Source organism: Homo sapiens, chromosome 1 (assembly GCF_000001405.40).
Source record: "Homo sapiens chromosome 1, GRCh38.p14 Primary Assembly".
Taxonomy (NCBI): domain Eukaryota; kingdom Metazoa; phylum Chordata; class Mammalia; order Primates; family Hominidae; genus Homo; species Homo sapiens.
The window spans coordinates 23,505,091-23,531,298 of NC_000001.11; the positions used below are offsets into that span (position 1 = coordinate 23,505,091).

Consider the following 26,208-nt stretch of genomic DNA (forward strand, 5'->3'; position numbering starts at 1 on the left):
GGACAGGCCCAGAAGAGGGAAGACGTGTCGATTTCAGGAAATGACAAGGAAGCCCAGTGTGGCAATGGTGCTGGGAAAGGGTGGCCAGGGAGGCCACAGGTAAGGTAGAGGAAGCCAGTTGGAAGTTGTAAATAGCCATTTATACCATGCAAAAGGGTTAGAACTTCATCCCGAGGGCAGAGAGGAGCCATGGATGGGCATTAAGCAGGAGAGTAACGCGATTAGAACTACATTTTAGAAAGATCTTTCTGGGGATCGCTTCTCAGCCTTTTGGCTAAGATCAAGTGTAGAAAGATCTCTCTGGGGCAGCAGAAGGCATGCATTCTCAAACTTCAGCTGCATTAGACTCACCTGGGAGGTTCATGGAGCCTCAGAATACTGAGTCCCGCCCCATGAGTTTCTTATTCAGCAGGTCTGAGGCAAGGTCTCTTTTTTTTTTTGAGACGGAGTCTCGCTCTGTTGCCCAGGCTGGAATGCAATGGCGCCATCTCGGCTCACTGCAACCTCTGCCTCCTGGGTTAAAGTGATTCTCCTGACTCAGCCTCCTGAGTAGCTGGAGTTACAGGCGCCTGCAACCATGCCCGCTAATTTATTTTATTTTTTTAGTAGAGACGGGGTTTCACTGTGTTAGCCAGGATGATCTCAATCTCCTGACCTTGCGATCCGCCCGCCTTGGACTCTCGAAGTGTTGGGATTACAGGCGTGAGCCACTGCACCTGGCCTTTTTTTTTGCAGAGTCTCACTATGTAGCCCAGGCTGGAGTGCAGTGGTGTGATCTCACTGCATCCTCTGCCTCCTGGGTTCAAGCGATTCTCCTGCCTCAGCCTCTTCAGTAGCTTGGATTACAGGCACCCGCCACCAAGCCCGGCTAATTTTTTTATATTTTTAGCAGAGATGGGGTTTCACCATGCTGGCCAGACTGGTCTTGAACTCCTAACTTCAAGTGATCCACCGCACCCAGCGTGAGGCATGGTCTTGAATATGCATGTCTCACATTTCCAGGTGATACTGCTGCTGCTGGTCTGAGGACTACAGTTGGACCCACTGATGTAGAGGGTGGGAGGGAGAGTGTGGGCAGCAAGACCTTTCAGGAAGCTGTGGAAATAGATGGGGGAGACAGAGTCAGGGCTGATCACATTTTAGATCTGGGTGCTGCGAACTTTTCAGTGCCTTAATGGTGAGATTGCAGGCATGGTGATAAGAGACTGTATCTTGGAGGGAAATCCACTGGGCAATCATGTGCCCCCAGCATTGGCCAGGACAGCCCCCAACACCCAGCCTGCGGGGACCAGATCCACAGTTGGTAATGAGCTTCAGAAAGCACGACAAAGACAAGATGCCCAGAGCTGCAGTTTAATGTTTAATGCCCAATTATCTCAATACAAGGAGGCTTACATGGTGCTCATAAAGACACGACCAGGCGAAACCAGGCCGGCAGGAAATGACCCGCATGAGTCCCAGCACGGGGACCATGTTCTCTCGGTTCCAGCTCACCCTCGAAAAGTGCCACAGGCAAGGTTCTTCAGCTCACCCAGGAGCCAGCAGGCTGGCCAGGCGTGTGGCCACCATGGTCACTGAGGATCCTCGTGGGAGAATAGGGTTCTGGGACCTCAGGATACAATCACAAGAACCAGAAAGCTGCTTCCAAACAACCCCAGAAGGTTTTCACTTCACATGCGCTAAGCCACACAACACCTGGATGCTGGGGCACCCAAACCCTTTCCCTAAAACTCTGAACACTGCAGAATGGAGGTTGAGAACACTTGGGGAGGGAGAACAAAGTCAGAACCATCCTAAAGCCAGTTTTTCAAGCTTGACCACCTCCCTCTTCCTCCCTGAAGGCACACCAGCCGATCCCATTACTGTGGAAAAGGGACACCCTCTGGTCTATTCTAACACCTTTAATGGGAAAGGAGTTAGGAGCATGTCCCTGGCTTCAAGAAATCTCTGAATCTCCAACTCTACTGGATGATTTCCTGGAGCCCCAAGCTTTAGAAGTCCCTGGGGACACGAGTGATTTTTTTAGGGGGGCTGCTGGTGGGGCTGGGAAGTTTCCTGGCAGAAATTATTTACCTCAGAAAGACACTGGCTTTTCTCTTACCCTCGTTTTAAAGTCTACCTGGTCCCTAAAGAAAATACCACTCAGGCTGGGCCTGGTGGCTCGTGCCTGTCATCTCAACACTTTGGGAGGCCGAGGTGGTGGATCACTTGAGGTCAGGAGTTCAAGACCAGCCTGACTAACATGGCAAAACCCCGTCTCGACCAAAAATACAAAATTAGCCGGGCGTGGTGGTGCATGTCTATAGTCCCAGCTACTCTGGAGGCTGAGGCAGAAGAATCGCTTGAACCTGGGAGGCAGAGGTTGCAGTGAGCCGAGATCAGGCCACTGCACTCCAGCCTGGGCAACAGAGCGAGACTCCATCTCAAAAAAAAAAAAAAAGAAGAAAAAAAGAAAAGAAAATACCACTCAAAATGTGTCCTGAAGCACTCTGTGGAAGTCGGGAGGCTTCAAGTGTCACTGGCAAGACGGGGGCATGAGCTTGTGTCCTGCACTGAATCTGAGGCTTAGCCTGGGAGGTCTAGCCCCTTGGCCAGGCAAGGTGTGAAAGGGACAGTAGAGGGGGACAGAGGCAGCTGCTGAGCACACGGGGCACAAGCCTGAAGGCAGCTCCCCTGACCAGCCATATGGAGAGGCCTCTAGGGCATGAGCTTACATTCCAGACTTCAGTATTAAACTCATTCCCAATGGGTCCTGCAGGCCCCTTCTTCCTTTTCTCTGATGTAATTCTTGGGGAAAGCTCCAGAGCCCAAGGAATGGGAGTCAAACACCTCTGACTTCAGAGATGGCACATGGCTAAATGGCAGCCCAGTGGAGACCTCAGAGCAGCCCACTCACCACAAACGAGATCCTACACAGGGTCCCTGAGCATGCTGGACTTTAAGACGGGCGTCTGATAAGACCCTTGTGAGTATTTGGGTAGGAGACCAAAAGCATTTCTGCAAAGGGTACACAATTAGCCCTGCTTATAGAGTGGGGGCAGCTGTGACCCGCTGACCACTCCTGGGAGGGGGCTAACTTGGGGGCCCAGGAATTTGAGCAAATGATGAGGCACAATTGTCCCCAGCTGGGCATTAGATCACATTGGGCCCCACCCTGAAATAATCCCTCGTCTCAAACTTCAGACATCAGTCAGTCAGCTCAGGAGCCATCCAACAAAACCAACTTCATATTTTAAACCAGCTTAATGCTACAAACTTTTCTAAAAAGTGCTGTCCAGCTGAGCCTCTGAGAAAACCTAGCTCCCTGAGGGGTGGATGGCAGGCCTCTCAGACCAACCCCTGAGCCTCTCTCCAGAAGTCATAGCCTTGGTTCAGCCCAGAGCACCCACATCCCAGGGTGGGTGGGGGAGAAGAGCAGCTGAGCTGAAGGGACAATGTGGGATGATCAAGCCTCTGGGGGAACAGGCTGAAGCCAAAAGACCCCCTCAGGACCCCAGGCCTGCAGAGGTAACATGAGTTCCTCTCCCCATTAGCTGTGAAGGCCTGGTCTGCCATGAAGACCTCTCTCTGTCACCCCTTCAGTATACCTGGGAAAAAAGGAGTGAACAAGTCACCAAGCCCCAGTCACCTCTGTCCTTGGGGTCTGAGTGAGCTCTGAGGGGTGGAGTCCTTAATGAACCATCCCCTTCAATAACATGGTGAAAAAATTCCTCCCAGGGAAGCAGAGAATGATGCCAGTGCCACATGGGGGGCAGAGGGGATGCTTTTGGCAGTTTTTTGTTTTAATCTGACCCTTCTTTACAGTGGGGCTGCCTCTGCCTACCAAGTCCTTGGTGCAAAATGGCTCCTGGACCAGCGCAAGGCAGAAACTCTGAGGAAAAGTGCCCGCCACAGCCATGACAGCTGCCCCCATGCTCCTGTCTGTTTTCCACGGGAGCTTGTCTCTGCTGGACCATTTTTACATCTCAAGGGGAGAGGTAAGGACTTCCTCAGGAAAGGGGTCTCCTGAGCAGGTGGCTCCTGTTTCCACAGGAGCCTCAGTGCTACCTGCCCTAGGATGGCTCCCTGGGACCATCTCTGGGACAGAGGCGACCAGGAAGCCAAGACCGGCAGCTCAGCTGGAGATGTGAGGCCAAGAACAGGGGAAGAGGCAAAAGGGCCCACAGCTGCCGTTTACTAGAACCATGAGGCCTAAGTGCAATTAGCATTCTAGCAGACTGGACAGCCCCTCAGAGTCCCAGCCCCCACCACAGTGGGGAAACCAAGGATGTAGCCTGGGCCCCTCCCTTGGAAACCCAGACCTGCCCTGGAACATGGACAGTGATGGGCCTGTCTGCAGAGGTCTCACTAAAAACTAGAACAACCTCCCTGCTAAAACTCAGGGAGGACAAACAAACAACTCAACCTGAAATAAATACAAAGGCATTATGTGCTTCTTGGTACGTCGAGGGTCCTAATTACCCCTCAAAAGGAGGTAGCAGGGCCTTTCCCTGGACTTGGCCACCTCACCTGCAGCCTTCTTGTGAGAGGTCAGAAGTCAGAAGACTGGATGGGCCTCCCTAGGCCCAGCTTCCATTAGGAAGGTGAGGACCACCCCTTATCCACTCCTCACCCGTACCATTCATATCTCCCCACACAGCTTCTGCCGGCTGGGGCAGGAAAGGCGAGGAGACCCCATGCCCTGAGGGCAGCACCTAGTGTCCAATGTCCCTGTGCAGGCAGAGGGGCTGTCAGCCTGTCTGTGAGGAGGTAGAGTCGGGGGCAGGCTGCTGGGGGCAGGCAGGGCCACTCAATTAATCAACAGGTCCCCAAGGTCGTAGGAGTCGAAGAGATCGCTGATGCCCTCACCCGCCTCCAAGCCCCACAGGTAGTCGTCCTGGTCCAAGGATGGGGAGAAGCTGATCAGAGGGGAGCTGCACGCCAGGGTCGGGGACAGGAACTGGTCCTCAGTCTGCTGCAGGAGTGGGTGCGGCAGCTCCAGCAGGCTGTCAGTAGCCTCCAAGGGGACCAGGGATGGAGGCGGTGGGGCCTGCTGGGGGGTTGGCGCTGGTGCTGGCACTGGAGACAAACAGACAAAGGTTACGCCTGGCCCTAGCATCCAACTCCTCAGCACGCGAGGACAGACTTCCGGTTCTCTGGATGACTGCACCCTTCTTCTCTCTCCTTAGCCTGGGTGGACTGTCGTGCTCTCAAAATCCACCTTCCAGAGTCTACACCCAACCCTACAACTTTTCATGTATTTTTTATTTTTTTGAGACCGGGTCTCACTCTATCACCCAGGCTAGAGTGCAGTGTTGTGATCTTGGTTCACTGCAACCTCTGCCTCCCAGGTTCAAGCGATTCTCCCACCTGAGCCTCCCGAGTAGCTGGACTACAGGCATGCACCACCACACCCAGCTAATTTGTGTATTTTTAGTAGAGATGGGGTTTCACCATGTTGGCCAGGCTGGTCTCGAACTCCTGACCTCAAGTGATCGGCCTTCCAAAGTGTTGGGATTACAGGCCTGAGCCACTGTGCCCGGCCAAAAAGGAAAGAAATTCTGACACATGCTACAACATAGATGAACCCTGAGGACATTAAACTATGTGAAATAAGCCAATCACAAAAAAACAAATACTGTGTGATTCCACTTACATTAGATACTTAGTCAAAATCGCAGGGACAGAGAGTAGAAGGGTGGTTGTCAGGGGCTGGGCAGAGAGGGGAATGGGGAATAGGTACAGAGTTTCAGTTTTACAAGGTGAAAGGAGTTATGGAGATGAATGGTGATGGTTACACAACATTATGAATGTATTAATTACCACTGAACTGTACATTTAAAAATAGTTATGATGGTAAATTTTTGTTATGTTGCCTCTACTCTCCACCACACACAACTATACCTGACCTCATCACCCTCTCCAATTACTGGCCCATTTTTCTGCTCCTTTGCACAGTAAACTTTCTCCAGAGTAGCCTCAGCTTGTCTCCACTTCCCTATTACTATTCTCTCTTCAACTCACTCCAGTCTGGGGTCTCTCCCCACCATGTCCCTGAGCCAGTGACATCCATGCTGCTAAACCCAATGGTCATTTCTCTGGCTTCATCTTATTTGACCTTTCAGTAGCCATTCTCCAGCACTCTATGCTCATTTCTTTCTCGCCGCCTTCTTTTTTTTTTTTTGAAACAGGGTCTTGCCCAAGCTAGAGTACAGAGTGCAGTAGGGTGAACACGGCTCACTGCAGCCTCAACCTTCTGGGCTCAAGCAATCCTCTCGCCTCAGCCTCCTGAGTAGCTGGGACCACTGGTGCGTGCCACCATGCCCATCCAATTTTTAAACTTTTTTGTAGAGACAGGGTCTCACTCTGTTGCCCAGGCTGGTCTCGAACTCCCAGGCTCGAGCAATCCTCCTGCCTCAGCCTCCCAAAGTGCTGGGATTACAGACATGAGCCACCACACCCAACCTGCTCATTTCCACTTAGATGTTAAGACGGTGATTTCCCATACAGGGACATGCAATGAAGCACTGGAAATTGCCTGCCACATATATCCTGATGCTCAGAATCCCCCACATTGCAGTCACTCCTTAAGCCCCAGCCAAGTATTATTCTGAAGATACAACTGCGCTGGGATGCTAGGCTGCCTGTTGAGACTGGTGGTGCACCCATAGGCATGTGATTTCACATTTTATTTATTTATTTAATTTATTTTGAGATGGAGTCTTGCTCTGGACTTCACGTTTTAGAGCATCCATTTTCTCCCCTCTGCATGGGGCAGCATAGCACTACCTACCTCAAAGGGTTGCTCAGAGGACCGCATGGTAAGTGCATATGAAGCACTGGTTTGGCCTGGTGCGGTGGCTCATGCCTATAATACCAGCACTTTGGGAGGGCGAGGCAGGCAGATCACCTGAGGTCAGGAGTTCGAGACCAGCCTGGCCAACATGGTGAAACACCGTCTCTACTAAAAATACAGAAATTCGCTGGGTATGGTGGCAGGCATCTGTAATCCCAGTTAATAGGGAGGCTGAGGAAGGAGAATCATTGGAACCCAGGAGGTGGAGGTTGTAGTGAGGCAAGATCACGCCACTGCACTCCAGCCTGGGCAACAAGAGCGAGACTCGTGTCTCAAAATAAAAATAAATAAATAAACAAACAAATAAATAAATAAGCACTGGTTTGTCGGGTCTGCATGCTGCCCTTGCTCCTGTTAAAAATTGCTCCCATTTACCAAGGCTAATGGGGGAGGTGGTGGCACTGCCCTTGAGGCGAGGCGTGGTTCAGCCTCCTTGCACACTCAAATGGCCCTGAGGGAGTCCATGCTGTTACCCCTATTTACAGATGAGAAAACTAGGGCCCAAAGAAGTCCATTAAATGTATATTAATTAAAAAAAAAAATCTAAGGTTTGTTTGGCACGCTGCTGATGTTACAGTCAGAGGCCTGGCTTGGGAGCGGGGAGCATGTGGGCTCAGACTCTAGCGCCTCCTCTCACCAGCCATGGAACCCCAGAACTCTGTTTCCTCATGTGGAAAAACAGGGATGAGTATTAGAAGCAGTAACTGATAAAACACATGTGAAAATCTCTATTATAGGTCAGACCTTGCTGTCTCCTGCTGTTGATCACGTCCAGAAATAGAATCGCCTTTTGTAATATGTGTCTCTCCACCACACTCTGAATGGCTCTTACTGCTTTTCTGTCTCTAAAACAGCACCAGGCCCAGCTCAGTAGATGCTCTTCACACAAGCTTTTTTTTTTTTTTGAGACAGAGTCCCACTCTGTCGGTCAGGCTGGAGTGCAGTGGTGTAATCTCAGCTCACTGCAACGTCTGCTTTCCTGGTTCAAGTGACTATTGTGCCTCAGCCTCCTGAGTAACTGGGATTATAGGCATGCACCACCACCTCCGGCTAATTTTTGTATTTGTAGTAGAGACGGGGTTTCATCGTGTTGGCCAGGCTGGTCTGGAACTTCTGGCCTCAAGTGATCCACCTCCCTCGGCCTCTCCAAGTGCTGGATTACAGGTGTGTGCCACCGCGGCTGGCCACATAAGTTTTTTTTTTTTTTTTTTAAATCACATTTATGCCATGTCATCTTCTATAACCCATTCAATATTCATGAGGAAATTTCAAGTGTCCCCATTTGAGAGATGTGGGAACTGGGGCTTTGGGGGGTTAAAGTGATTCACTCACAGTCACCAAGTCACTAAGAAGTGAGATACAGGCTTGAACACAGGTCTCCCAATTTCAAATCCTGTGCCATCAGCTACATTTAGGTGTATCTCAGAATGTCAGAGCCTGGAGAAATGTCAGAGATGATGTTGTTGAAACCCCTTCCATTACAGATGAGGGAAACTGAGGCTGCAGAGAACACTTCCCCTGGTAATGCAGAACCAGGGCCAGGACCCAGGTCCCAAGACTGTAGTGGCTTCCTCTCTTACATGGCTTCTGGCACTCAGACCTCAAAATGATACTATTTCAGAACACAGCACGGAACATGTGTGTGTGTGTGTGTGTGTGTGTGTGTGTGTGTGTGTGTGTGTGTGTCTGTGCAGGAGAATCCCTTGAACCTGGGAGGCGGAGGTTGCAGTGAGCCAAGACCAGGAAAACTTCCTCCTCCTCCCTTCAGCAGGGATAATACTATGAGGCCATGTGACAAGGGTCGTGGGGACAGCCATGACATGAGAGCTGGCCCCACCAGACTGCTGTGTAAGCCTCTGCTCCTCTCTGGGCTTCAGGATCTTGATTTGTAAAACTCAGGTAAAAACTTCACACCCGGCTGGGCTCGGTGGCTCACACCTGTAATCCCAGCACTTTGGGAAGCTGAGGTGGGTGGATCACCTGAGATCAGGAGTTCGAGACCAGCCTGGCCAACATGGTGAAACCCTGTCTCTACTGAAAATACAAAAATTAGCCGGGCATGGTGGCATGTACCTGTACTCCTAGCTACTCGGGAGGCTGAGGCAGGAGAATTGCTTGAACTTGGGAGGCGGAGGTTGCAGTGAGCCAAGATTGTGCCACTGCACTCCAGCCTGGGTGATAGAGTGAGACTCTGTCTTAAAAAAAAAAAAACAACTTCACACCCTTGTTTATGCTTTGGGATCTGCCACCTCCACCCAAGGTCTCAGAGGACAACTGAAGCGAAGGTGGTTCCAGCTTCGGAGGGCTATGCGCATGCTGACACTTGAGTGAGGAGGCACAGCAGGAGGAGGATGGACCAGAGGGTGGGGCAGAGGTCTGGGATGGGAGATAGGCACTGGGGAGGTGTCCCAAGGGACAGATGGCTAGCACAGGGAGAAGCTCTGGTCCCTGATGAGGCCTGACAGACACAGGAGAGATCATTAGAGAAGAGTTGGGAGGCTGGGCTCTGGTCCCAGCTCTGCCATCAACTTGCTGTGTGACCTTAGGGAAGCCACTTGCCCTCTCTGGGCCTGTGTTCATTCATGTGTTAAAAGAAGGGTTGAGTTAGTTGGGGACAGCAAACTTCTATAAAGAGCTGGAGCCTGTAATCCCAGCACTTTGGGAAGCCAAGGCAGGTGGATCACCTGAGGTCAAGGGTTCAAGACCAGGCTGGCCAACATGGGGAAACCCTGTCTCTACTAAAAATACAAAAAAAAAAAAAATTAGCTGGGTGTGATGGCGGGCACCTGTAATCCCAGCTACTTGGGAGGCTGAGGCAGGAGAATTGATTGAACCCAGGAGGCAGAGGTTGCTGTGAGCCAAGATCATACCATTGCACTCCAGCCTGGTGACGGAGCGAGACTGTCTCAAAAAAAAAAAAAAAAAAAAAAGCTGGAGAGTATTTTAGGCTTTGTGGGACACTTGTGGTCTCTGTCACATAGTTGCCTTCTTTTTCTTTCTCCCACAACTCTTTAAAAATGTAAAACCATTCTTAGCTCATGGGTCATTAAAAGCAGGTCAGATTTGACCTGCAGGCAATAGTTTATTAACCTCTGAGTTAGAGAAATGGACACAACCAGTGTACTGCAGAGCCCTTCCAGCAAGCCTCTTCCATCAGCCCAGCTCTACCTCTACCTTGGTCTAAACGCTAGGGTTCTACTTAAGAGAATTCTGCTGCTAAGAAGACAAAAAGTGGAACACTGGCCTACATAGCCTTGAAGAATCCTGCCAGTCTAGCCGGATGTGTGATCCAGGAAAAGGCAAAAACTGTTCTGGAGAGGGGCCTTTACAGGCTTCCATTTGTACTCCTTCTGGACTCCCACCCTCCTTGGGAAGCTCTCAGGAACTTTGCTCCCTGGCAACTTACCTGTACTACCTTCCATCAGGGGTAGCCAGCTCTTAACCATACCGTCCACCTCCCAGCCAGAAGCCCCTTCTTCGATTTGATCTATGCCTTGTGGAGAGAGCACTGGGCTGGGAGTATGTAGACCAAGGTTCAAGACACAGCTCTGTTGCCTCCCAGCTGGGAGACCTTAGGTAAGACACATCACCTCTATGTCTTATTTTTTTTTTAATGGGCAAATTTTATTATTTTATTTTTATTAGAGATGGAGTCTCATTATGTTGCCCAGGCTGGTCTTGAACTCCTGGGCTCAAGTGATCCTCCCACCTCAGCTTCCCAGAGTGCTGGGATTATAGGTGGGGACCACAGCGCCTGGCCTATTTTTTAAAATTTTATTCTTATTTTTATTTTTGAGACAGGGTCTCCCTCTGTTGCCCACGCTGGAGTGCAGTGGCATGATCAGAGCTCACTGTAGCCTCAACCTCCATGGCTCAAGTGTTCCTCCCACCTCAGCTTCCCGAGTAGCTGGACTACAGGCGTGTGCCACCACACTCGGCTAATTTGTAAATTTTTTTATAGAGACAGGGTATCCCTATGTTGCCCGGGCTGCTCTTGAACTCCTGGTCTCAAATGATTCTCCTGCCTCAGTCTCCCAAACTGCTGGGATTATAGGCGTGAGCTATATAATCTCACAACAACCTATGAGTTAGACAGTATTAATTACTGCGCCCAACTCACAGATGAGAAAAATTGAGGCCAAGAGAGGTTAAGTAACTTGTCTAAGGTCACATAGCTGGTAAGTGGATGGGCTGGGATTCAAATCCAGGCCTTCCTCTGCCCTGGAGCAGCACCAGCCTTCCTAGTGAGGCTTTATAAAGCATTAAGTACAATGCACATGTGTGGGGTAGGATGACTACATCCCCAGCTGCTGGATAAAACAGGAGGTTTTCAACAAACATTGATATAGAAGAGAAAACTAAGGCCGGTCTCTCCCCCCACCTCCTGTCCCTCTGGACAAGGGACCTACCTGAGGATGCTGTGGGCTCCATGATGCTAGGGTCGGTGCTGCTGCTGGGCTGGGCAGAGTCAGGGCTGGGGCAGAGGGTGGAGGTAGAGGGGAGAGGCTCCTCGGAAGGACTGTCCGGCTCCTGCACCTCCTCTGGGCACAGGTAGACTTCGATGGGCCCTTGGGTGCTCTTGAGATATATCTGCAGGTTGTCCTGGAGGAGGAAGAGAAGCCAGGTCATTGCTCTGGGCAGCTGGACACTTACACTTAGTGTGTATGGACAGACGCACGTGGCTGCTGCCATCCATGGGTGCAAGCTCAAACCCTGGGCTGGCACTGAGACCAACTCCATCTGGCCTAACTAAGGTGGACTTCCGCTGTTTCTGCTGTCTGGCCCTGAAGCCCACTTCTTTTAGGGGGAACACCTTGATTTTCCTGTGGGAAATCACTCTTCCCCCCACTCTCAGGTCATCTAGTTTTGGGGCGGGGGGGGGGGGGCAGCACCCTTCCCCAATGCCAGTGGGTGAGCTTGTGACGCAGCCAGGAAAGTTAGTGTGACATGATTGGTTCAGGATGGCCCATGGCTCAGGTGGATCCAACCAGCACTAGGCCCAGGACTTTTGCTGGACTTGTGGGAAATGGAAGCCCCCTTCCCACTGGGGTTGCTGAGCTGGTATCATAAAAGCTACCTCTACCACCACAAGGAGAGAGCCCACCTGGGAATGGAGTCAGCACAGAGAAAAGCAGAGAGATGAAAAGCGTGAGACAGACCTGAAGTCATAGTTTGAGCATCTACATCCAACCTTGCCAGCAATCTCTGAATCTCCCCCAGGACTTGTCATTTGGTTCCCACCACCCCTACCCATACCTCCCGCTGAAGCCAGTTGGACTTGGCTTTCTGTTACCTGTAACCAAGAGTCCTAGTATTTGGTCTTCCCACCCTGTCCCTTCCCTACCACATAACCGCAACTTAAGCCACAACTGATGACATGCATGCCATCCAGGCACATGTCCAGGTCTCCATGCCTGTACTCACACAGAACTGCACCTAGCAAAAACCCTATTCATTCTTTAAGACCTAGTTTAACTGTCCCCACCTGGGATACCTCCTCTAACTACCCTTTCTCTATGCTTGCAAAGCACATCTTCAGTCTATAAATGACAGCGTCTTTTTCCCACTAAGTCGTGAACTCCTCCAAGGGTGGGGGCAGGACCTTAATTGTCTCTGCAGCCCCAGTTCTTCCTTTAAATAAATTATTTCTTGAGTCCTTATAATATGCCAGGCTCTGGGCAAGGGATACAAGGTGAGTAGAACATTCTCTTGTGAAGCTTACACCCTAATAGATGAAGCAGAATGCAATCGTGTAATCATGCCAAATATACCTCAGCAAATGGAGATTAAATTAAAGGCAGCGGAAAAGCACAGGTGTTTATGAAGTCTGGAGGTAATCAGAGAAGGCTTCCTTGAGGAAGTGACATTTGAGTTGAGACCTGTAGGATGAATAGCGGTAAATCAGGCAGAGAGGGAAGAACATTTCAGCTCGAGGGGAAGAGCATGTATGAGGGTCTTGCACGGCTAGGTGCGGTGGTTCACGCCTATAATCCCAGCACTTTGGGAGGCCAAGGCGGGCAAATCACTTCTATGCCGAAGTTCAAGACCAGCCTGGACAACGTGGCAAAACCTCGTCTCTACAAAAAAAACAAAAAATGTGCTAGGCATGGTGGCATGCACCTGTGGTCCCAGCTACTCAGGAGGGTGAGGTGGGAGGATGGCTTGAACCCGGGAGGCAGAGGTTGCAGTGAGCTGAGATCATGCCACTGCACTCCAGCCTGGGTGACAGAGCAAGACGCTGTCTTAAAAAAAATCAAATAGGTTGAGTGTGGTGGCTCATGCCTGTAATCCCAGCACTTTGGGAGGCCGAGGCAGGTGGATCATGAGGTCAGGAGTTCAAGACCAGCCTGACCAACATGGTGAAACCCCATCTCTACTAAAAAAAAAATACAAAACTTAGCCGGGAGTAGTGGCGGGCATCTGTAATCTCAGCTACTTGGGAGGCTGAGGCAGGAGAATCGCTTCAACCCAGGAGGCGGAGATTGCAGTCAGCCAAGATTGTGTCACTGCACTCCAGCCTGGGCAACAGAGTGAGACTCTGTCTCAAAAATAAATAAATAAATAAATAAATAAATCAAACAAAACAGAAGATCTCATACTAGGAATGAGCTTAGTGCAATGGGGAAACTGCAGACAGGTCAGTGTGGCCAAAACAAAGACAGATGGGGCAGCGGGGAAAAGGAGGTTGGCAACGTCAGCTGGGGTCTCAGAGCACCGAAGCCTCATAGGGAGTGTCAGGAATTTTGGTCTTTAACCTGGGAAAGCACGGTCAGCATGAAAGGATTTTCATGAGTATTGACACCGTCATACGTGGGCATGAGTGTGCATGTGCGCAGGAACCCAGGGCTGGTGGGATGCAGAAAGAAACCAGGAACAGAGATTTTCTCAGGCCACTACTCAGTCTCCGTTGCCCTTTCCAGCTTCTGCCATTTCTGCCCAAGCTTGAAGGCCACCAATATTGCCATGGACACCACAATGGGCCTGCAAAGCATGGGGCTAGGCAGTGCCAGGGACAGAGTCTGCAGAGCCGCCTGGAACGCTCCCTGGCAGGGTCTCAACCCTGCTCTCCACCAAATATTTCCCCTCTCACCTCAGTCCTGTCGGGCACTTCCAGTCTCGTCTGCGGAGGGGCCTTGACGGCAATCACTGTCTGCTCCTTAAAGTTGCCAACAGCACGGATATCCTGGTAAGTCACATAGGCCAGCGTAGGGCAGGAGAGTCAAGAAAAGTGACTGTCTGGTCAAAATTCAAACCCCAAACCTGCCAGGGAGCACCTTCACCCACCTCTCCTAAGCCTCTGAACATTACTTTCTCACTCCTTGTACAACTTAGAAATAATACAATCTGTAACCTGTTAATCTCATAAGCTACCTTAGATCCCTTTGGAAAGCAAATGGGAATATAAATCATAAAAAATGTTGCCTTACATTATAAATCATAAAAAATGTTGCCTTATGTAAAGGCTTCATCTCTCAAACTAGATCATTAGCTCTGAGAAGGCAGGAAGATGTGTTTTATTTCTTTATATTTCTCACAATGCCTAGCATCCTTCCAAAAATACAAGGTCAGATCCAAAACCAATTAGATATGAAATGATTTTGGAAAATGTATGAAAGAGCCTTAGCAAAGTCCATGCTCTTTGACCTCATCATTTCAATCCTAGGGATCTGACCTAGGAAACAAGTAAAAATATGGGAAAGCATTCTATGTATAAAGATATTCGGCCGAACGCGGCGGCTCATGCCTGTAATCCTAGCACTTTGGGAGGCTGAGGCGGGTGGATAACTTGAGGTCAGGAATTCAAGACCAGCCTGGCCAACATGGTGAAACTCCATCTCCACTAAAAATACAAAAATCAGCTGGGTGTGAAGGCCGGGTGCGGTATCTCACTCCTGTAACCCTAGCACTTACGAAGGCTGAGGTGGGTGGATCACCTGAGGTCAGGAGTTCGAGACCAGCCTGACCAACATGGTGAAACCCCGTCTCTACATAAAATACAAAAATTAGCCGGGTGTGGTGGCAGGCGCCTGTAATCTCAGCTACTTGGAAGGCTGAGGCAGGAGAATCGCTTGAACCCAGGGGGCAGAGGTTGCAGTGAGCCAAGATCATGGCACTGCACTCCAGCCTGGGCAGCAATAGTAAGACTCCATCTCAAAAAAAAAAAAAAAAAATTAGCCAGGCATGGTGGCGGGCACCTGTAATCCCAGCTACTTAGGAGGCTGAGGCAGGAGAGTCACTAGAACCCAGGAGGTGGAGGTTGCAGCGAGCCGAGATTGTGCCACTGCACTCCATCCTGGGCAAGAGTGAGACTCTGTCTCAAAAAAAAAAAAAAAAAAAAAAAAAAAAAAAAAAGCTATGTTCAGCAGGCACACAACTACATTACAACTATATTGAAATAAAACACATTCTGTGTGCAGTTCAAGAACAATGGCTATGTTAAGGTGGCAGCTCATCATTCTTTTTCTCCGTTTTCCAGATTTAAAGAAATTTACTTGGCTTATTTTCAATAATGAAAAAATACCTTTAATAAACTTGAGGCCAGGCACAGTGACTCATGCCTGTAATCTCAGCACTTTGGGAGACTGAGGCAGGAGGATCGACTGAAGCCAAGAGTTAGAGACCAGCCTGGGCAACAAAGCGAGACCCTGTCTATACAAAAAATAAAGAATTAGCCAGGCATGGTGGCACATGACTGTAGTTCCAGCTATTCAGGAGGCTGCGGTGGGAGGATCACTTGAACCCAGGAGGGCGAGGCTATAGCGAGCTATGATCATGCCATTGTACTACAGCCTGGATGACGGAATGAGTCCTTGTCTCTAAAAAAAATAAATAAATAATTTTAAAAATAGACTTGAGAAGAAAAGCCACCCAGGAAGGAAGAAACAGATGCCAGACCCTTAGGGTAAGTTACTGAATCAACTCAGGATAGATATAAACATGCAACAGGTTCCTGCTCCCTGACACCTTCCCCCAACCAAGGAGGATATCTCTTGTTGGCCTTGTCCTCAGTCAGGTGCTTGAAGCTCAGAGAGCAGCTCTGGATGAGCTGGTCCAAGGCCTGCTCCGTGTTCATCAGCTCCTTCAGCTCCTGCCCCAGCTGTTGCTGCTTCCCAGGTCTGGTGGGGTCTTCAAACATTCCCCTGCCTCTGGGAACAGAGCAGCCCCCCAGTGTCAGTCTGTGGGTGAAACTCCAGAACAAGGTCATTCAAAAAATAGTCTATGAGGGTGCTTCCCTGGGTTGTGGAAATCAGTGGTCATGCCTGTCTCTCAGGGAGCTACCAGGGATTGGAACCAGAGGTTTGGGGGTTGGGCTTGGGAGAAAAAACAAGTCAAGACCTGAACCCCATTTCTGAGGGGCTCTCGACTCTGTTCATCCCTATGCCCCAGCCTCCTCCAACTGGAGTAGCCTCAGTCCTGACTCCCTCCCCTGCCTGGTTTCTCTTAGGATTTATGCCAAGGGCTATAGGTCAGCTCTTTAAACCCTGTAGAAATGGAGAGAGGAGGCTGGAGTACTCCTATCTCAGATCTGGAAGGAGTCCGGGATCCCCCTACTTAGCTCCCAGGGGACTGCCCTAAGCTAGAAGAAGTGGATATTGGGATCTCTGACTCAAGAGGAAGAATCTGAGGTTCCCTTTGGCCTTTACACCTCCCAGATGTCATTCTCCACTCTGCCCCGCATCACGTTCTCCGATTACTTCAGCAGGTACACGGCGCTCTTCCTCACCATACATTGGCTCTACCCCCAGCAATAAGCCTATTGGATGTTGCTCTTGGTCCGCCTCAGCCCTTGTGCCCATTGGATGTTGCTCTCAGCCCCGCCCCTGCCACTCACACCCACTGGCTATTGCCTCTGGCTCCGCCCACAGCACAAGTACCCATTGGAGGGTACCACTGGCCGCCCAGGCACTCACACCCACTGGATGTTGTTCTTGGCCTTCTTGCGGATGAGCTGGATGCCTTCCAGCACGTTGGTGATGTCATAGATGCGCCGCTTCTGCACGTCCAGCACCTCAGCGGCCCAGTTCAGGTCCAGGACCCCATCCTCTGACTCGCTCAGGAGGTAAATGAACTTCTTGGTGAGCAGCCCCAGCGAAGTGTCATACCGAGTCTTCTCCCCGGGGGATTTGGGGGCTGAAGAAGAAAGGGACCCAGTCACAGCTCAGGGAGGGGAGGGCCCGCCCAGGACCCTCGTCCATTGACCTAGGCTCATTAAGTACCACCTTTCACCACCCACTTTCCAGTTTACAAAGCAGTGTGAGCCAGGGCATCCATCACCACCACTGTCCAGACAGGGAACCTGATACCTAAGAGGGAAGGTGACTTGCTTAAGGTCTCACGGCCAATGGGCAGTGTTGGAAGCCTAGTGTCCTGACTCCTGGTTAAATGCACATTTCCACCACAGCTTAGGGCTGCCAGACCACCACCCACAACTACTGTCACTGTTCTAAGTGCTTTCCATGTACGAACACATTTAAGCCCTACAACACCCTGTAAGGGTTGCTGTACAATCATCCCCATTTTATAGATGAGAATACTGAGGCACAGTTTAAGTAATTTGCTCAGCTCACTCAGCTAGAAAGTGGCAAAGCTGGAATTCAAATCCAGGCAGTCTGACTCCAGAGTTTTCCTTAACCATTACCCTATCCTGCCACTTAAATGTCCGGAGTTTGGAATTAGAATAGGGTAGAAATGATAAGCCTGGATTTAAGAGCATTTTTATAGACACACACTTGCTTTTTCTTCCCATGTGAATCACAATGATTATCTGAGAAAAATCGGTCCTGTAACATCAAGTCGGGGAGGTTCATGAGAAAGGTCCCTTTCTCAATGAGGTTGATGTTGCAAGACCACATCTCAGCTGCAGCATCTTAAACCACGAGGGGACTTTTGTAATCGAGTGACTTCCAAGTCATATAGCAAGTTAGTGGCCAATCCAGTAATTCTGGAACCTGAATTTTAGAGTCTTAGGTTCCTCTGGAGGAGGACCAGTTATCATGAGCCTCAGGATCCTTCAAGACAGTGCTCTGGGCAGCCTTGACCAATCAAATGTAGAGGAAACTTTCTTGCCATTCCTGATCTAGCTGTGTCTTCTTTTACACAAGACAACTAAGGTTCACAACAACTAAGGTTCACAGGAGTGACCTGTCAGGTCGGAGCAGAATCCTACCTGGACCCCCAAAACTAGTGTTCCTCCCAAACACAGTTGCTTTAACTCCTGCTCTAACCAGGATTTTTTTTTTTTTTTGGAGATGGAGTCTCACTCTCTCTCCCAGGCTGGAGTGGAGTGCAGTGGTGCGATCTTGGCTCACTGCAACCTGCCTCCCAGGTTCAAGTGATTCTCCTGCCTTGGCCTCCTGAGTAGCTGGGATTACAGGCATGCGCCACCACACCCGGCTAATTTTTGTATTTTTAGTATAGACGGGGTTTCACCACGTTGGCCAGGCTGGTCTGGAACTCCTGACCTCAGGTTATCTGCCCACCTTGGCCTCCCAAAGTGCTGGGATTATAGGTGTGAGCCACCACGCTCAGCCTATCCAGGATATTGACTGAAAATATCAAGAGGCAGCAACCCCCTCCAACTTAGCTTTAGGAAGGCACCACCTGGGCAGCCTCTGGATCTTAAAAACCTTTGGGGTGGCAGAGACTGGATTAATCTGTGCTTCCCTTCCCTTTGAATCACTTATTCAGCTCCTTGTCTGCATGTGGGAGAAAGACCCTGGTTAGCCCCTGCTCTTCTGATTTAGAAAAATTTACCTTGACCTAAACATTAAAACGTTTTAAAAATAATAAATTCCCAAATAAAACACTGGTCATTGAGTTTAGATCATGAGAGCAGTACATGGTATGGTAGAAGTAGTGCGAGACTGGCCAGGCATGGTGGCTCACGCCTGTAATCCCACCACTTTGGGAGGCCGAGGCGGGTGGATCATTTGAGGTCAGGAGTTTAAGACCAGCCTGGCCAACATGGTGAAACTGTGTCTCTACTAAAAATACAAAAATTAGGCAGGGATGGTGGCATGTACCTGTAGTCCCAGCTACCTGGGAGGCTGAGGTGAGAGAGTTGCTTGAACCCCAGAGGTGGAGGTTGCAGGGAGCCAAGATGGCACCACTGCAATCCACATTTGGTGACAGAGCGAGACCTGTCTCACAACAACAACAACAACAACAACAACAACAACAAAAAAAAACACAGAAGTAATGCAAGATTTACATGTCCAGGCTCTAGTCCTGACTCCACTCTGAGACTATGGGCAAGTCACTCAAGCTCTCTGAGTCTCAAGTTGCCTGATTAGTAAAGACAGACAAGCCTACCTACCTGGCAGGATCAAATAATAAAATACGCAGGAAGCTTTTGTAAACTGGAAAGTGATCCAAATATGACTACCAGTGATTGGGCAGGGCACTGCCCTCTGCCCCTGCCCCACCCCACCCCAGAGGCCCCATCAGCACTGCTTACTTTTGGGGCTGGGGAGGCCATCCACTCTGATGCACTTCCCCTTGGGGGTTGGGAACTCAGGGACGACGGGCCTCCCAATCCCCTCCAGATCCAGCTTCCTTTTGGCCTTGGAGAAAAGGGGGAGAGAGAGGCAGAGTTTGAGAATCATTCCTCCTTTAGCCTTTCCCTGATGTGGGGCCAAAGCAATGAAGCCACTTAGCAGCCACCTCTGTGCCTCAGTTTACCGCCAGTCCTGGTGAAGCACTGCTGTACTTGATAGGAAAACATCAGTGACCTGAGAAGTGAGCTTTCAGGGGAAATCTTGTTTTCTGAAGGGCAAATAAAACTCCCATCCTCTGAGGCCCAGGCACTTGAGACCCTACCAAAGCCAGTCTGGCCAAGGGCTCAGAGCTCCTTAACCACGGGCCCTAAGCCGGCTCCTATACCTGCTCCTCACCCCACCACACCCAGAGGATGATACCAGGAGGAAGCAGTGGGTGGGGCCTAAACCACATCAGGGTGGGGAAAGGGCCCCCCTACAGAAGCAGCTGGCCCAGCTAGACTGAGTGCCCATCACAGTCCCACAGCTGGTCCTTATCAGGGCGGGGCTGGGCATCCGCCCAGACCCAGGGGACTTCCTGGCTCAGTGCCACAACCCAGGGAGGTGCCCACAGTGGGAAGCAGTGCAAACATCCCCACCCCCATGTTTGGGCTCCAGCTTGAGGGCCCCAGGGCCTCCTGAATAGACTGCATTTGCCATTCTTTCTTTGCCGAGAGGGGCAGACAATGAATCCTTCCCGTGTCTTAAGGACAAGCAGCTGAGGCCACCCCCCCCCTCCAGCTCCCCCTTTCTGTTCCCGCCAAGCTTGGGAAACACCTGCTGGGGAAATCAAACCACAGACCCATCTGCTCCTCTCCACCCTGTTGCCACCCGGGCCCCAATTAGGCCCAGAGCTGCACTGGCCCGGAAAGGGCCTCTCTCCTGGTTAGGGCTGGGCAGGGGCAGGGCAGGGGCAGAGCTGGGGCACTGGGACACTGGGACATAGGTCAGAGACCCATGCTTGAATCTCCAGCTCCTTCGCAGGCTCACGGTACAAGTTGGGGGAAATGTTACACATCTAAGGAGCCTCAGTTTCTTCCTCTGTAAATGGGGTAAAAATGCCTACCTCAAGGGGCTATTGTAAGGATTCAAGGAAGGCACTACCTGGGCAGCCTCTGCATCTTAAAAACCCTGGAACAGGCTGAATTAATCCCCGCGTGGCTTCCCTTTGAAGCACTTATTTAGCTCCCTGTCTGCATGTGGGAGAAAGACCCTGGTTAGCTCCTGCTCCTTTAACTTCTGTAAAGTTCTCAGCCTGTGTCTCAGCACACAGTAGGTGTTCAGGAAACACAGAGTCCCTTCCCTAAAATCTAATCTCGACCTCTTCCTTCATACATCCTTCTGGGGGTCATCGAGCCCATTTCTTTCCTCTTTCCAACTCTGGATCCCCCAGACACCCCTACCCTGGCTTGGACAGAGAGGCCTATTTTAACATTTAGTGGTGAGGTCATGCTCAGCAGGGCTGAGACTTCTAACTGCTGCTGAGCACAGCTGGGCTGACAGGTGTTGGAGGTGGTGACAGCTCTTCCTGCTGTCAGTTCCCCTTCCCCCACTCCTGCCCCCTCCAGGAAGTCTTCCTGGGCTGATGTGAGGAGCCCTGCTCCTTGGTTTGAGGAGCCTGGATATAACACTCTTGCTTTCCACCACTACCGAGACCTGGAAACCATCCAAACACTTTACTGCTCATTCTTGAATGAGTCTCTTGAATATTCCTTTTCTACCTTCCTAACTGGTGAAATCCTATATTCTAGAGATTTAGCCCCATGCTGTCACTAGAGAAAGGGCCAGTCACTGGCTGAGACCTTCCACATGCCCTGAACCACGCCCCAACATTCATCACTTCACTGAATCTTCCCATACCACTAATCCCCATTGTACAGCTGAAGTAATTGAGGCTTGGGGAGCTCCGAGGCCTCCATCAATCCTGACCAAGGCTGCACATCCTAGTATTCTTCATATATCCCCCAGCAGGAGCACCAAGGGCAGGGAGAGGAAGGGAAGCTCAGGTGGAGTTCTACCTGAGGCAGAGGTGGGGCAGCCCAGAGCCTCCCCAGCCACACCTGTCTCCCCCGCCAGAACAAACCAGAAAGAATCCCAGGAAGACCTTGAACAGAATATCTATGCTGAGCCTGTTACATGCTCGTAACAGTCCTACCACATCAGTATTGGCACTGGCTCTCGGAAGCCAAAAAATGGAGACTTACAGAGAGTAAGCACATGCCCAAGGTCACACAAAGGCCGGAGCCAGGGTTTGAACCCAGGCCTGTCTGACTGCAAAGCCATGTACCAGGCTGCCTCAGCTGCATCCCACACACGCTGCCCCAGGATTTGCTAGAATTTGGGCCAAGGCCTGGGCTACGCCCACCTGCCCCCATCACTGCATGTACTTGCACACACACACACACACACACACACACACAGCCTTCTCTCTTTTCTCACTCTCCTTCACCCTTATTCTGCACTCCCAGGGTCCCAATGCGGCAAGTGTCCCCCTAAGGATACCTCCCTGACACCTTTGGACAGTGCCCAGAGGAAAGTCAGCCTATGGCTTGGGCTGAACCTGCAGAACACAGGTGGCAGAGGACAAGCCCAGGAGGATCAGCATCAAGGTGAGGCTGAGCACAGGTCTTGGAGTCAGACTGGCCTGGCTTTGCATCTAGGCCTTCCCCTTCTTAGCTGGGAAATCAGTTGACGTCAAGTCACCTATAAAATGGGCATCATTGTCTCCACCTATGCTGAGGATTCAGTGAGATAGTGCAGCAAAGCGCTTTGCCCATAGGGAGTGCCCCCACCAGGGAGCTGCTAGCACTGATGTATGGGGAGCACCAGTGGGAAAAGGGGAAAGTTCAAGGGTGAGCTGAAAAGAGACTGCGATGAGGGGAGGAGAGCAAAGGCTATGGCCACAGCCAGAGGCCAGCTTAGCCCTATCCTGGACGCTCTTAGGCAGCCCCTTTGGCTGGATCTTCAAGGCCTGGTCAGGACGCAAGCCCACCCTGCCAACCCCTATGGAGAAGAGTACAGCTCCTTCCTCAGGCAGCTGCAGAAGTGCAGAGGGTCAGAGATCACCAGGCACAACCCCCTTACGGGCACCACGGTGAGGAAACTGGGACTTGGGGAAGAGGAATTGACTTGCCCAAGGTCACGCAGAGTGGAGCCTGGTCTCTCCTAAGCCCTAAGTCAGATGGTGGGGGTAGGAGCAAATGTAAGGGGTCGAACCTTGCTTTCAGATCCCAGCTCTGCCACTTCGTAGCTGAACAGCCTGGGATTCACTGTCTTGCCTCTCTGAGCCTACACCTCCTCACCTGACCTGCCTTGTAGAGTTGTGTGTTAAAATGTTTATTTTCTTTCATGCCTCACAAGAGGAAATCTGGAAAATGTAGACAAATTGAAAGAAAAGGAGGACCGGGCGTGGTGGCTCACGCTTGTAATCCCAGCACTTTGGGAGGCCAAGGCGGGTGGATCACCTGAGGTCAGGAGTTCGAAGCTAGCCTGGCCAACATGGTGAAACCCCATCTCTACTAAAAATACAAAAAGTAATCCCAGCTACTTGGGAGGCTGAGACAGGAGAATCATTTGAACCTGGGAGGTGGAGTTTGCAGTGAGCAGAGATGGCGCTATTGCAAGCCAGCCTGGGCAGAGCTTCCTGCAGGCGTGAAAGAGAATGATGCCATGCGCCTGGCCAGAGGAGGCATGCGATAAAGGGGCATTCCCTGAGCCTTCCTCAGAGGACTTGGAAAGAGCTCTGGACAGGGAGCCAGGAGATCTGGGTTGTGGCCTTCATTCTGCCATTGAACTTGGTTGCCATCCTTGGACAGTGCCTGAGGTCCCTTTAAACAGAAGCTCCACAACAAATCCTGCTCACCCTGCACTTTGCAGCCCGGCCACAAAGCAAGCGGCCACACCCAGGGTTGGGTTTGGAGCTGTTCCAGGTCACGCCCTTGTAAAATGAGTAAGCAGAGGGCAGGCCTGCCCACGGGGCTGGGCCCCGGGCATCTGGGGATTGACAGGAGCGGGAGCTCTGGGCCTGGCAGGGCTTTAGGGTGGTCTGCTGCAAGGAGACTCCCCTGCTTCTTCACTTGTGACCCAGGCAAGTGACTTCCTTTCTTTGCTCAGTTTCCTTATCTGCAAGGTGCCTCATTCTGGACATCCTGACCAAGATAATGAACGTGAAGAGTGCCAAGCAGTGTCTGGCACACGAGAGGCACTCAGTAAAAGAGAGACCTTCTTGCTAAGATCACTGAGCCCTTCTGGGAGGGAGGTACAGACAGATGTACTTGGGCTCCTCTGGGAGGGTTCAAAGCAGTGTAAAACCACAGCTGTTACTGAAACTTCCAGTCTGAAAGCAGCTGGCCAGAGGAGAGTGGGCCTGCCGCAAAGCTCCCTTCCCTGGGGGGAGCTCAGCTCCTAAGTTAGGCAGTATTAAAAAAAGTCAAGGCTACATAGAGAAGAGCCTGCTGCCTGACCAGGTGCATTAGAGTAGCTAGCTCATGCCTGTAATCCCAGCACTTTGGGAGGCTGAGGCAAGAGGATTGCTTGAGCCCAGGAGTTTGAGACCAGCCTGGGGAACATAGGGAGACCCCTGTCTCTACAAAAAATAAAAAATAAAAGACAGAAGAGCTGACTGCCTTGTGAGTCCCATCACTCTACCCCATCCCCATCTCTGACCTTAGGTCACATCCCCTCTCTGAGCCTCAGTTTCCCCCTGTAACATGGAGCTATTAATGCCATCTATTTCACGAACTACAAAGATGTTTTAGGCTATAAAACACTGAACACAAGATACCCAATCCCAGTTATCCTCGGTTGCTTAACCTGTAAAATGGGGATAATACCATTCCTGCCCACTGCCCTCCTAGTTAGAAATCATGTGCAGGAAGGGTCTCCAGGAAGGTTAACGTTTTGAACATGGGCAAAGCCTGAGTCCACTGGCAGGGAGTGGTGGCTCTGCCTGCATCCAGAGCTGGCTGGGCATCCGTGCTTGCTGACTAGCACAGGTCTGACCAGATGCCTCTGGGGCAGTGGGGGGTGGTCTTATCCCTGTACCCGAACTTATTCACCAAACTCACAACTAAGCAAACCTACAACACCCCCTTCCTCTCCCTGGAGCCTGCTTCCAAAACCCAGGACCTGGAGCTGAATGTGGCTGAGAAGAGCTAGCCCCACAGCCACCCTGTGCACACACGCATTGTGAAGGAGAGAACACTGAAGCCCAGACTGGGTCCAAGACTTGTCCAAGGACACACAGAGAATTAGTGGCAGAGTCACACCAGAAACCAGGCTCCTCAACCACCACCACCTCCACTCCCCCAGGCTTTTCCCACTCCACCCCCCACCCTAAAGTTGTTTTGATTCACACGGGCTCCAGGAATTCCACTCCCACAAAACACACCCTGAGCCCAGGTCAGCAGGCAGCCTGGTGCCACTACACTTTGGGCCCTCTCTGGCAACGAGCCTGGGAGCTTGAGGAGAGAGCAGCCAATCTGAACAGAACCCAAGGGGGCTGCCCACATTTGTATCTGCTACATGGCTGTCTGGGAGGGAAGACTGGGCCTGGGGGAGGACCTAGGGCAGATACTTGGGGCTATCTCAGGAGCTGGCTGGACAATTTGGAGTCTGTCCATGGCAGATTGGATGTGAGAGACCCACTAGACCTATCCCTCTGTCTTACCAAAGTCCCACAGTGTCCCCAGGCCATACTCTTTGCCTGGACAATAGCAGGCACCCAGTACTGGTTTCTGGCCAAACAATGAAGTAATGAATGAATGGCGGCAACGCTGGCTGCATGGACTTCCCCAAGGTCACACAGTGCACTGGGAGTAGTGAGTTGGGTCTCCCTCCAGACTCGCAATCCAGTGCTCATTCCACTCCACTAGAATGGATGAGATTATTTCATCCAAAGTCTGAAAATGAAGGGGTCTTCTACTCAGATATTGGGGGCACTGGGTCCTGGAAACTGAAAGCTCATCTTCCCTCTTCCCAAAACTCTACCTGCTCCACTCAAACTGGATCTCAGGCACCCCTCCCTCCTTTCCCACACCTGGAAAAGCATAGGGGGAAGCGGTGGGGGCCCCCAGCATTACCGGCAGCCGGCCTGCCGGCAGGCATCGCACAACTTGGCCCTCGGGTCCGTGGGGAGTGGCGTCGAGGCAGGTGCCTGGCGCCGCTGCGGGAGGCGCCGTCTGCGGGTACAGCGGTGTGTAGTAGGTAGCAGTAGCTGGGCAGAGCTGGGGGCTGCTGAGGCCGGATGGCCACAGCTCTGTGGGGCTCATCGCGGGCACCACCTTCGGGGTCTGCCCAGCGGCCGAAGCCAAGGCCCGGGGCCCTTGCAGCATAGCGAGTAAGGCGCCCCCTACCCAAAAGGGCTTGGCGCGCCCGCGGACACCTGCGGGTTCCGGTGCTGCCGCCTTTCACACGGCCCGCGGCATGGCGCGGAGGCCGGGGGAAGCCGCCAATGGACGCCTGCGGGGCAAGGCCGGACCCTCCCCTCCTGGCCCGCGGCCGAGCAGAGAGCAGCGCTTAGAGATCGCCGCTTGGAGATCGCCCGGCGGCTGCGGTGGTGGCACTGCCAGGGGCTGTCTCGTCCCGAGGGCACCGCGACCCGGGACGCCCCGCGCTCCCCAAGGCCTCGGCACCTGGGGTCCGGCCGGCTCTGGGGAGGGGTCCCCGGCGTGCCCTCAAGCTCGGCGGAGACGCGATGCGCTGGGATGGGGAGGGGGGTCTCGACTGCACCGACTTCCTTGCGGCTCGCTCTCTAGTCCTTGAGTCTTTCTCTGCCTCTTTTTTTTCTTCTTTTTTTTTTTTTTTTAGCGCCAAACGTCGTGCCGCGAAATTCGGATC

At 51.6% G+C, this 26,208-nt stretch overlaps 1 protein-coding gene and 1 long non-coding RNA gene across 11 annotated transcripts, besides 4 other annotated features; one reads left to right on the forward strand and one right to left on the reverse strand.

Annotated features, from left to right (window-relative positions):
• E2F2 (E2F transcription factor 2) lies at positions 122-26,143 on the reverse strand. Of its 10 annotated transcripts, XM_047448091.1 has the most exons (8): positions 25,452-26,143; positions 19,293-19,398; positions 16,747-16,966; positions 15,823-15,981; positions 13,926-14,040; positions 11,245-11,437; positions 4,849-5,058; positions 122-1,095 (listed from the first exon to the last, which is right to left on the reverse strand). In XM_047448091.1, the coding sequence occupies exons 1-8, from the start codon at positions 25,701-25,703 to the stop codon at positions 1,088-1,090; spliced, it is 1,263 nt and encodes a 420-aa protein (XP_047304047.1). In that variant the 5' UTR covers positions 25,704-26,143; the 3' UTR covers positions 122-1,087. The 10 variants fall into 10 exon arrangements, with proteins under 10 accessions (XP_047304047.1, XP_047304048.1, XP_011539172.1 ...); XM_047448092.1 differs by lacking the exon at positions 4,849-5,058 and having other exon boundaries at positions 16,753-16,966; XM_011540870.4 differs by lacking the exon at positions 4,849-5,058.
• Positions 15,711-16,910: an enhancer, noted in NCBI's record as "BRD4-independent group 4 enhancer chr1:23847293-23848492 (GRCh37/hg19 assembly coordinates)". NCBI's record gives its function as "activates an origin of replication core promoter dependent on BRD2, P300/CBP, MED14 and CDK7 cofactors, and independent of BRD4, by STARR-seq in HCT116 cells {active_cell/tissue: HCT116}" and the evidence as "EXISTENCE:reporter gene assay evidence [ECO:0000049][PMID:35650434]".
• Positions 16,840-23,329, forward strand: LOC101928163 (uncharacterized). Its single transcript, NR_110799.1, has 3 exons — positions 16,840-16,895; positions 21,840-21,980; positions 22,315-23,329. It is a non-coding gene; the product is annotated as an uncharacterized LOC101928163 (long non-coding RNA).
• Positions 23,197-23,393: a silencer, noted in NCBI's record as "fragment chr1:23854779-23854975 (GRCh37/hg19 assembly coordinates)". NCBI's record gives its function as "represses an EF-1alpha promoter that drives an FKBP-Casp9 reporter gene in an ReSE screen in K562 erythroleukemia cells {active_cell/tissue: K562}" and the evidence as "EXISTENCE:reporter gene assay evidence [ECO:0000049][PMID:32094911]".
• Positions 23,412-23,541: an enhancer, noted in NCBI's record as "active region_365". NCBI's record gives its function as "activates an Ori minimal core promoter by ATAC-STARR-seq in GM12878 lymphoblastoid cells {active_cell/tissue: GM12878}" and the evidence as "EXISTENCE:reporter gene assay evidence [ECO:0000049][PMID:35858748]".
• Positions 25,549-25,697: a silencer, noted in NCBI's record as "fragment chr1:23857131-23857279 (GRCh37/hg19 assembly coordinates)". NCBI's record gives its function as "represses an EF-1alpha promoter that drives an FKBP-Casp9 reporter gene in an ReSE screen in HepG2 liver carcinoma cells {active_cell/tissue: HepG2}" and the evidence as "EXISTENCE:reporter gene assay evidence [ECO:0000049][PMID:32094911]".

What these genes read in the sequence shown, in the direction of transcription:
- E2F2 (NM_004091.4), bottom strand. Translation starts at nt 25,703, where the DNA reads ATGCTGCAAGGGCCCCGGGCCTTGGCTTCGGCCGCTGGGCAGACCCCG. An exon ending in TGGCCTCCCCAGCCCCAAAA is followed by an intron (nt 16,967 to 19,292) that starts GTAAGCAGTGCT and finishes TTTCTTCTTCAG; the next exon opens with CCCCCAAATCCCCCGGGGAG. An exon ending in GGAGCCCACAGCATCCTCAG is followed by an intron (nt 5,059 to 11,244) that starts GTAGGTCCCTTG and finishes GTTTGTCTCCAG; the next exon opens with TGCCAGCACCAGCGCCAACC.